Raw genomic sequence first — 11,686 nt, 5'->3', positions numbered from 1 at the left:
GGATCCCCCAGGGAAAGCCTGGAACTTGAAGTCCACGTCAGCCAGGATTGGCCTACTACAATCATCTTCTTTTCTTAGCTCCTGGAGCTTTCTCTCAGTGGACAGAACTGCCCTCCAGCTTTCCTGAGCTCTTTCCTCACAGATGATAATCTTCTTCTTCTTTTTTTTTTTTTTTTTTTTTTTTAGACAGAGTCTCGCTGTCGCCCAGGCTGGAGTGAGTGCAGTGGCGCGATCTCGGCTCACTGCAAGCTCCGCCTCCCAGGTTCACGCCATTCTCCTGCCTCAGCCTCCCGAGTATCTGGGACTACAGGCGCCCGCCACCGCGCCCGGCTCAGTTTTTGTATTTTTCAGTAGAGATGGGGTTTCACTGTGTTAGCCAGGATGGTCTCCATCTCCTGACCTCGTGGTCCGCCCACCTCGGCCTCCCAGCGTGCTGGGATTACAGACATGAGCCACCGCGCCCGGCCGATAATCTTCTTCTGACAGAAGGAAGTGGTCCTCTCCAATTCTTTGCTGATGTCTTTGGCCATCTCCTTGTAGAGGCTTCAAATCCGCTGTGTGTGTTCACGTTTCTACACATGCTGGGAAGTTTCTTCATCTCTAAGCTGTGTGTTTCCACCTCAGGTGATCTTCTCTGAAGTTGCACTATATGTTCTTGATGTGATTCAGGCAGGATTTGAAGCTTCAGCTGCAGGTTCTGGATCCCACCTGTGAGCCAGGATTTTTTTTTTTTTTAGATGGAGTCTTGCTCTGTTGCCAGGCACAATCTCGGCTCACTGCAGCTTCGACTTCCCAGGTTCAAGCAGTTCTCCTGCCTCAGCCTCCTAAGTAGCTGGGATTACAGGTGCACACCACCATACCCAGCTAATTTTTTGTATTTTTAGTAGAGACAGGGTTTCACCATGTTGCCCAGGCTGGTCTCGAACTCCCGACCTTAAGTAATCAGCCTGCCTCCGCCTCCCAAAGTGCTGGGATTACAGGTGTGAGCCACCACACCTGGCCCAGCTAGGAATTTTCAAATTGCAAAGATGCTTTCTCAGTTTGGAGGCATTTGATTTTTCCTGTGAGCTCTCATTCATTGCATTTTCTTCCCACAATTGCCTGGCTATTTCTTGATTTTTCTTGACTTTCACAGGACATATTTAAGTCACCATCACCCAGCAAAACTCTTCTGACTTACAGTTGGGAGGGCTGGGGCTGGGGGAGGCGGTCTTCATTTTCTGCTTTTCTCTTTAGCTCTGTTTTCTAGGTCTCGTCACCGTGGTCTCTAGGGAAATCTCGCAACTACATGGTGTCCAGCAGGTTTTCAGCCATAGATTTTAATTGGCTCATGGTATCTTTCATGACCTTTTTTATTTGTGCATTCAAAAGTTCCAGCTTTTCTTTCGCCTCCTTTTTCTGTACTCTTTGCTTCCATCTTGTAATTTCTTGGTTGAGCACTTCTGGACTTTCTGCAAAATGAGTGTTTTCATTCAAACCACCTGTTATTTTCTTCTGAAGTTTTTCTTCATCCTCCTTTGATCCTTTTAAGATGTGTCCTACATCAGTCACTTGAGAACATTTAGTAGGCTTGTTTTTTCCATGCTTTTCCCAGAAAGCCTCCTATGTCCTGCAGGGAAGACCTGTATTAATGGTTGACAAGCAGAGGGATTATAATGTTCAAGGTCTGGCCTCCATCAGGGGTGACTTGAAGGCTTCCTGGGCCTGTGCCTTGACTTCCATCCTTCTACACGTTCTGGCTGCCTTCTACATGGACCTCTTGATGGAAACAGTGTTTGGCTCAGTTCTTTTCGTGTGTCATAAAGTGTGTCATCTCTTGATGATTAAGATCACCACAGCAGCACAAACCAGGACCTCCCCAGGATGCCCAGGGACCCCCAGGTCTTCTCTCAAGCCATCACCAGCAGGGCAGCCCCCACCAGCCCCAGAGTGGCTGGAGAGACATTTGGGGACCAGCAGCCCCTCCGTGGCTCTGCCACTGCTTGCCAGTGGCCTAAGGGCCACAATGAACCATTCAGAACCCTGCAGAGTGTTCTGTCTCTAATGCAAACAAGCGCCTGGCAACCAGGACAATCAGCTGGGCTGCGGGAGGGGAGGCAGCCAGGTTCTACAAACAGTGTCCCTGACTTTGCTCTGCTCACTGCACAAATAATAATATACTAATGAAAAAAAAAAATGAAAGAGAACACAAACAAATGGAAAGACATCCCATGCTCATGGATTGAAAGAATTAATATAATCAAAATGACCATACTGCCCAAAGCAATCTACAGATTCAATGAAATCCCTATCAAAATACCAACATCATTTTTTCCCACAGAAATAGAAAAAACAGTATAAAAGAGTCTGAAAGGCCAAAGCAATTCTGAGAAAAAAGAAAAAGGCATTACACTATCTGACTTTAAAATATACTACAAGGCTATTGGTAACCCAAATAGCATGGTATTGGCATAAAAATAGACACATAGTCCAATGGAATAGACAAACCAAAAATAAATCCACATACTTGCAGTCAATTGATTTTCCATAAAAGAATGAAGAGCATGCAATGGGAAAAAGACACCCTCTTCAATAAATGATGCTGGGAAAATTAGATACTCACACATAGATGCATGAAACTGAACCTTTATCTCTTACCATGTACACAAATCAACCCAAGGTGAATTAAAAACTTGAGCATAAGACCTGAAAACATAAACTGGTAGAAGAAAACATAGCAAAAACACTTCAGGACATTGCGCTAGGCGAACAATTTATGGCTAAGACCTCAAAAACACAGGCAACAAAAACAGAAATAGAGAAATGAGACTATATTAAACTAAAATGCTTCTGCACAGCAAAGGAAACAATCTACAAAGGGAAGAGATGCCCTTTTGGATGGGAGAAAATATCTGCAAACTATTCATTTGGACAAGGAACTAATATCCAGAATATACAAAAACCTCAACAAAGTCAACAGTCAAAACAACAACAAATAATAATAATCCCATTAAAAAGTGGTCAAAACATGAATACACACTTATCAAAAGAAGACATATGACATACACACATATCAAAAGACGGGGACACACGGTTGATGGAAGTAAAAATCAGTGCAGCCACTACGAAAAACAGGATGAAGATTTCTCAAAGAAGTAAAAATAGAACTACCATGTAACTTATTTAGTGTTGAGGTGTATATGGGCTGTATTGTGTGCCCTCAAATTGATATGTTGAAGTCCTAACCCCCAGAACCTCAAAATGACACTGTCTTTGGAGGTAGGTTACTTACAGAGGTAATTGAGTTAAAATGAAATAATTAGATCTGGCCCTAATACAATATGACTGGTATCCTTATAAAAAGGGGGAATTTGGACACAGAGAGGGGCAAGGAGGGAAAGTGACATGAAGAGACACAGGGAGAAGATGATCATCTACCAGCCAATGGGAGAGAGGGCTGGAGCCAGCTCTTTCCTCACTGCACTTAAAAGGAACCAACCTTATAGACACCATGATCTTGGATTTCTAGCCTCCAGAACTGTGAAAGGATACATTTCTGTTGCTTTAAACCACCCACTTTGTGACACTTTGTTATAGTAGGTAGTCCTGGGGCATTGATACAGGAGACAGGGCATGGGAGGTGATGACCACCAGGAGGAGCAGAGACAGAAAAGGTGAAGCAAGCAAAAGGAGTGGGGTGTGTGTGTGTGTGTGCATGCGTGCACATATGCACATGTGTGTTAGTGTATAAGTGTGCGTGTGTGTGTGCATGTGAATACCTGTGTGCACACACGCACATGTGTGTATACATATGTATGTCTATGTGTGTCTCTGGAAGTGTGACTGCACACATGTATGTGCAAGTGGGTTGTGTGTGTGCATGTGTGTTCTTGGGATCCTGAACTGTCTTAATCCCAACTGAAGGGCTGATTTACAGAGACACTTAAGCACATGTGACCCCGGCCCCCATCACAGTGTTGGGTAGGGTGATGCCCTGTGGCCTCTTGTTGTGATACAATTGCTGACATGCAGCGATCAGGAGCAACTGGTTATTTTGGCTCCACCCACAGACATAGTTGAAGTGCTGGGCTCCACACTTCTCACTTTAGGGAGACTCCTATACCATTGCCTCTTTCCTCCAGGGCTCCTTCACTAGGAAGTGGCTTCCAGAAAGCGTGGGCAGCCTGGCTTCCAGTGATCTGCAGATTCCCAGAGGCTGATATTGAACCATGGTTGGGATTTGCTCTGGGGTCCATACATAGCTTGAGAAAACAGAAGCCCCAAGGTATGCAAATTTGACCCAAAATACAAGTCTGATTCCTGAGGACCTGAGAATTAGAAATGAGATGCTAATTCCTTAGGATGAGCTTCATCCAGAGGGTGGGAAGGCGTGGAGCACCTGCAGCACTATTGACAACTACTAGGGTCAACAGGAAGCCAAAGGAGGGTACCCTGTGAGGGAACATCCGGCCACTCAGCTGAGCTCCAGCCCTCTGAGCCCTCCCCTATTCCCAAGCCACAGTCTGCATCTCAGGCACAAGGAATCAGGGACCACGGATGAGTCAGGATAAGCCTCTCCAATTTCTTTTTAGGGGGTTCACCTCTCCGAGCTTCAGTTTCCACATCTGTAAAATGGGCATAATAAAACCAATCTCCCAGGGTCACAGGGAGGTGTAAGTGAGATGACAGATGAAAGTGAGCTTTGAAAATGGCGCCATATTTCCCAATTAACTAATTACATGCTTACACTGCAATGAAAAATAACCTCTTCCAGAACCAAATTGGGTGGAGTTTACCAGCAAATCATAAAAGTGTTTCTCATCAGAGCTTTACAGGCTACAGCAGACAGGCAATCTTTTTTGCTTAAGAGCTCATTTTTTTGTTTACTTATCTTCGTTTGCTCCCACCTCCACTTTCTTTCCTCCAACCAACCCACCTTCCTCCGGGCCACAGTCTTTGCTGGATCTGTGCTTCTGACCTTATGCCACTCAAACATACATGTGTGCTGAGCCCCAGGTCTATGTCTGGACAGTATGAAGCCATAGACACAGAAACAGCTAGCAAGAGTCAGATGTGGTAATCCCAGGCAGTTTTGCCATCTGAACATGACTTTGAGAAATGGGGAGGGGGCAGTTACTCATAGTACATGGAACAGAGGTCATGTCCATTCCAGTTGCCAAGATGTCATCACCTCAGCTATGACCAAAAATGGTCTTTCCCCTAATGTTAAATTTCAAGCAGAAGTCACATGTCCAGACTCCGCCCAGGAGTTACAAAAGAGTTGCACAATAAGGGGTTTCCCCCTGCACTGCTTCAAGACTCACCCTTCTGTTTTGCTGTTACAGAAAAGACAGATTAATATCTGGCCCAGATTATGAGATTCTTGCATCTGTTCGAACTCAGCTAGCTGCCAGCAGCTGCTGTAAATGAGGGCTGTGTGTTCTTTGGGTAGGAGGTTCCTGATAATTTAAAATTCAAATCAAGGGCTGTGGCCTCTGGTTTGTGGAAGGAGGAACTAGAAACTTGAAGGAGCCCTAGGTAGCATCTGGGGCAGCATTTATAATGACTTCAACCAAACATGACAGGGTTATTTTGGCCAGAGGACAACACCAGAAAACAGAAGACCAGGGTTTGAGTCTTGGTTCAGTTAAGTACTTGTTTCATCACTGAACTCTGCCCCTGGATTTCTTCTGATGAAAATGGAGACATGATTGTCTGGGATCCATATTTTCTTTGCAGATCCCCTGGCTCAAACACACCTTCCTTGGCGTGCTCTGTTCAAATAGCACCCCCATCCCAGGTTACTGACTTTACACAATCTTATACCCCCAATAGATCAATCCCCCCAACAGCCACAAATGACCTGGCTTTATGGAGGGGAAACTGAGGCAGAGAGTGATTAAATTGCATACCCAAGGTCACAAATAGTGCCTGACAGACCCAGTGACAGTGATAATCCAAGGTCCATCTCCAAATCACAACAAATCCTCCTGTTAACTTGCTTGATATTTCAGGAGAGGTGATGGGGCAGCTTGCTCCCTCTACCTCTTGCCACAGTTCCTGCTCCACTTCCTCTGGCCCTCAAGCCCTGTGCTCCCGCCCAGCAGCCCCATTAAAGCCTGAATCATTCCCAGTGACAAGTGTCCACCATGTGGAGTTCTGGAGCCCTATCAGGAAAGAAAGCTGGTAGGGTGTTATTTCTGAGGGCTCTGTTCTGTTCCATTGATCTATATCTCTGTTTTGGTACCAGTATCATGCTGTTTTGGTTACTGTAGCCTTGTAGTGTAGTTTGAAGTCAGGTAGTGTGATGCCTCCAGCTTTGTTCTTTTGGCTTAGGATTGACTTGGTGATGCGGGCTCTTTTTTGGTTCCATATGAACTTTAAAGTAGTTTTTTCCAATTCTGTGAAGAAAGGCATTGGTAGCTTGATGGGGATGGCATTGAATCTGTAAATTACCTTGGGCAGTATGGCCATTTTCACGATATTGATTCTTCCTACCCATGAGCATGGAATGTTCTTCCATTTGTTTGTATCCTCTTTTATTTCCTTGAGCAGCGGTTTGTAGTTCTCCTTGAAGAGGTCCTTCACATCCCTTATAAGTTGGATTCCTAGGTATTTTATTCTCTTTGAAGCAATTGTGAATGGGAGTTCACTCATGATTTGGCTCTCTGTTTGTCTGTTGTTGGTGTATAGGAATGCTTGTGATTTTTGCACATTGATTTTGTATCCTGAGACTTTGCTGAAGTTGCTTCTCAGCTTAAGGAGATTTTGGGCTGAGACAATGGGGTTTTCTGGATATACAGTCATGTCATCTGCAAACAGGGACAATTTGACTTCCTCTTTTCCTAATTGAATACCCTTTATTTCCTTCTCCTGCCTAATTGCCCTGGCCAGAACTTCCAACACTATGTTGAATAGGAGTGGTGAGAGAGGGCATCCCTGTCTTGTGCCAGTTTTCAAAGGGAATGCTTCCAGTTTTTGCCCATTCAGTATGATATTAGCTGTGGGTTTGTCATAGATAGCTCTTATTATTTTGAAATATGTTCCATCGATACCTAATTTATTGAGAGTTTTTAGCATGAAGGGTTGTTGAATTTTGTCAAAGGCCTTTTCTGCATCTATTGAGATAATCATGTGGTTTTTGTCTTTGGCTCTGTTTATATGCTGGATTACATTTATTGATTTGCGTATATTGAACCAGCCTTGCATCCCAGGGATGAAGCCCACTTGATCATGGTGGATAAGGTTTTTGATGTGCTGCTGGATTTGGTTTGCCAGTATTTTACTGAGGATTTTTGCATCAATGTTCATCAAGGATATTGGTCTAAAATTCTCTTTTTTACGGCTACCTGATCTTTGACAAACCTGAGAAAAACAAGCAATGGGGAAAGGATTCCCTATTTAATAAATAGTGCTGGGAAAACTGGCTAGCCATATGTAGAAAGCTGAAACTGGATCCCTTCCTTACACCTTATACAAAAATCAATTCAAGATGGATTAGACTTAAACGTTAGACCTAAAACCATAAAAACCCTAGAAGAAAACCTAGGCATTACCATTCAGGACATAGGCATGGGCAAGGACTTCATGTCTAAAACACCAAAAGCAATGGCAACAGAAGACAAAATTGACAAATGGGATCTAATTAAACTAAAGAGCTTCTGCACAGCAAAAGAAACTACCATCAGAGTGAACAGGCAACCTACAGAATGGGAGAAAATTTTCGCAACCTACTCATCTGACAAAGGGCTAATATCCAGAATCTACAATGAACTCAAACAAATTTACAAGAAAAAAACAAACAACCCCATCAAAAAGTGGGCGAAGGACATGAACAGACACTTCTCAAAAGAAGACATTTATGCAGCCAAAAAACACATGAAAAAATGCTCACCATCACTGGCCATCAGAGAAATGCAAATCAAAACCACAATGAGATACCATCTCACACCAGTTAGAATGGCCATCATTAAAAAGTCAGGAAACAACAGGTGCTGGAGAGGATGTGGAGAAATAGGAACACTTTTACACTGTTGGTGGGACTGTAAACTAGTTCAACCATTGTGGAAGTCAGTGTGGCGATTCCTCAGGGATCTAGAACTAGAAATACCATTTGACCCAGCCATCCCATTACTGGGTATATACCCAAAGGACTCTAAATCATGCTGCTATAAAGACACATGCACATGTATGTTTATTGCGGCATTATTCACAATAGCAAAGACTTGGAACCAACCCAAATGTCCAACAATGATAGACTGGATTAAGAAAATGTGGCACATATACACCATGGAATACTATGCAGCCATAAAAAATGATGAGTTCATGTCCTTTGTAGGGACATGGATGAAATTGGAAATCATCATTCTCAGTAAACTATCACAAGAACAAAAAACCAAACACCGCATATTCTCACTCACAGGTGGGAATTGAACCAATGAGAACACATGGACACAGGAAGGGGAACATCACACTCCGGGGACTGTTGTGGGGTGGGGGGAGGGGGGAGGAATAGCATTGGGAGATATACCTAATGCTAGATGACGAGTTAGTGGGTGCAGCACACCAGCATGGCACATGTATACGTATGTAACTAACCTGCACAATGTGCACATGTACCCTAAAACTTAAAGTATAATAAATAAATAAATAAATAAACAAATAAATAAATAAAGCTGGTTGAGTGATGTTGGGGAGAGCCAGGACATGGGGGAGAGCCAGGATGTGGGGCAGAACTGACGGAAATGTAATTCTGCTTCTTCCCCGCCATGGAAAAGGCGGGCAGGCAGGCCCCATGACTTCATCTCTGCACAATCCCAGTTTTGAAGATGTTCCGAAAAATGATTTCTCTAAATACTTATTTCCCTTCCCTTTCCTCTTTTCTTCTAAGTTTCAGAAAAACTGTGGCAAGACCAGGTGCAGTGGCTCATGCCTATAATCCCAGCACTTTAAGAGGCCAAAGCAGAAGGATCCCTTGATTTTAGGAGTTTAAAACCAGCCTAGACAACATAGGGAGACCCCATCTCTACAAGAAATTTAAAAATCAGATGGGTCTGGTGGTGCATGCCTGTAGTCCCAGCTACTCAGGAGGCTGAGATGGGTGGATCACTTGAGTCCAGGAGGTTGAGGTTACAGTGGGCTGTGATCATGCCACTAAACTCCAGCCTTGGCAACAAAGCAAGACCCTGTCTCAAAAAAAAGTGGCAAAATATACATTTTTTGTTTCCTGAAACAGATTTGGAATTGGACTGGAGCATGGAAAAGAACAAAGATAGAAGGATGGCAGGAAAAGGGCTTTGAGAGTATCCATTTCACCCTGTGTGAAGGAACTTTTCTTTATCATGCAGACTAGACAATTCTTCTTGATTTAAACAAGAAATGCTTCCTCCTTACCTGGCTATGAAAAGGTCAGAAGACTGGAAGCACGGACACTGGATTTGGGAGGCCAAAGGCTAATTTTCCCTACCTTCGCTTTGTCCTCCAGAGATCCACCACTTTTGCTCTGAGTGAGCCTCTCTTCTTTCTAGAACGATTGTCAAAATGTGCCCCACAGACTCTGAGGTCTCCGAGACCCTTTCAGAAGGATCCTCAAGGTTAAGACTATTTTTACAAGGATACAAATCCACGCTTGACTTTTTGACCTTTGCTATGATGGTATAAAAGCACAGGTGGTTTTGCACTATGGTGCTGAACCAGAATCACGTGAACCGGAACAGTTGGCAGTCACTGTGTCACTGCACTCTCCACCACCACCATGCACTTGCAGAAAAAAAGAAAAGAAAAAATAAGAGTTTCACTCAAGAATTTTTTTTTTTTTAAGACAGAGTCTCGCTCTGTCACCCGGGCTGGCTGCAACCTCCACCTCCCAGGTCCAAGTGATTCTCCAACCTCAGCCTCCAAAGTAGCTGGGACTACAGGCATGTGTCACCGCATCTGGCTGATTTTTGTATTTTTAGTAGAGATGTGGTTTTGTCACGTTGGCTAGGCTGGTCTCGAACTCCTGGCCTCAGGTGATCCGCCCACCCCAGCCTCCCCAGGTGTTGGGATTACAGGTGTGAGCCACCACACCTGGCCTCAAGAATGCTCTTGATGAAGCAGTAAAAACTTATTTTTTACTAATGGAAAACACATCTTTTTAATTTCTGTGTAATAAAATGGAAAGTACACTTAAAGAACTGGTCTGCACACATACTGAAATATGGTGATTGTTGTAAGGAGATGCAATTGTGTATTTGAGTTGCAAGCTAAACTGTCCACTCTATTCATGAATATCACTTTTATCTGAGAGAATAACTGGCAAATTATTCTGATTTGGGTATTTGGCTGGTCCTTCCTCAAAAACTAAATAAAGTGAGCCTGTCGCTTCCCCCCCAAAATGGTGGGAAGAGACACGTAGCTCTTGGGAGAACGCAGTGAGCTGGCTCTAGCACACCAATGAATATAAGCTTTTTGGCGTACTCACTAATTTTGAAGCATGTAAAAAGAACAAATTTGAAAACAGGTGTCCTAAGACCACCATCACCTTAACAACGTCAGAGTCCACTGAGGGGACAGAGTGTTGTGGCCTCAGTTCCAAAAGTACTTAAACCTCAAATTCTAATGTAGTTAGTATAAACATCCGAGAATCTCTCCTCAAATACTTAGGGGTATTTGTTGCTGATTATAAAATTTGAGGTTTCAAGTGAAAATTTGAATTTTAAAAAGTGTGTATCCACCACTGTGAGTTTGATAGTTTCCCAGTAATTTTCTGATGTGATTTGTGGTGATATTAAGTAATGTAATTGTTGAATATTATATTTTGAAATGTGTTAACATTTTGAAGCAATATTTTCCAAGTGACCAATGCAGGATGTTACAAAATCACACACGGCTAAAAGATCTGTTCAAAGTGCAACGTAGGCCAATGGAATTTAATGTAACCTTAGGAAAGTTTATTAATATGGTTTCATACCTGAATTGCAACTAAGGAATTATACTTTGTTAAGTTTTGGCATAGTAAAGAAAGAATATCTACAATTATCTGAAATAGTCTTAAATGCTCCTCCTTGTTTCTGTTACATATCTGTTAGGCCGGATTTTCTTCACATACTCTATCAAAATATATGCAAACAGATTGAATGCAGAAACAGAAGAATCCAGCTCTAATACTAAACCAGACATTAAAGAGATTTGCAAATGTGAAACAATGCCATGCTAACTTTTTAAAAAATAATTACTTTTTGCAAGAAAAAAATGCTGTTAATGCCAATAAGTAAAATTATTTTTAAATGAATTCTTTTAAAATTTACTTTAATTTCTAATATGGAAATTATTGATAGATATAACCAGTAGAGTGTTGGTAAATGTTTAACAATCAGCACTCTGGGGGAGAGAAGGCCCTGATTTGTAGTGTCTGCTGATTCCCATGGTGTAAATACTCTCATCACGCCCCATCTCAAGCTACCATTACTGATGCGATGATGGGAAGGGACATGTAGCTCTCGGGAGAACACAGTGAGCTGGCTCTAGCGCACCAATGAATATAAGCTTTTTGGCATACTCACTAATTTTGGAGCATGTAAAGAGAACAAATTTGAAAACAGGTGTCCTAAGACCACCATCACCTTACCAATGTCAGACTCCACTGAGGGGACAGAGTGTTGTGGCCTCAGTTCCAAAAGTACTTAAACCTCAAATTCTAATGTACTTAATATAAACATTCCAGAAT

The 11,686-nt window shown here is 42.9% G+C and overlaps 2 annotated features.

The window, feature by feature from the left end:
- Positions 4,410 to 5,609: an enhancer, noted in NCBI's record as "BRD4-independent group 4 enhancer chr21:40203265-40204464 (GRCh37/hg19 assembly coordinates)". NCBI's record gives its function as "activates an origin of replication core promoter dependent on BRD2, P300/CBP, MED14 and CDK7 cofactors, and independent of BRD4, by STARR-seq in HCT116 cells {active_cell/tissue: HCT116}" and the evidence as "EXISTENCE:reporter gene assay evidence [ECO:0000049][PMID:35650434]".
- Positions 5,231 to 5,420: an enhancer, noted in NCBI's record as "active region_18463". NCBI's record gives its function as "activates an Ori minimal core promoter by ATAC-STARR-seq in GM12878 lymphoblastoid cells {active_cell/tissue: GM12878}" and the evidence as "EXISTENCE:reporter gene assay evidence [ECO:0000049][PMID:35858748]".

The sequence above is a fragment of the Homo sapiens genome, chromosome 21 (genome assembly GCF_000001405.40).
Source record: "Homo sapiens chromosome 21, GRCh38.p14 Primary Assembly".
In the NCBI taxonomy this organism is placed as follows: Eukaryota; Metazoa; Chordata; class Mammalia; order Primates; family Hominidae; genus Homo; species Homo sapiens.
Note: the sequence above shows the minus strand (reverse complement) of the source record. Positions and strands in the feature narration are given on the sequence as shown.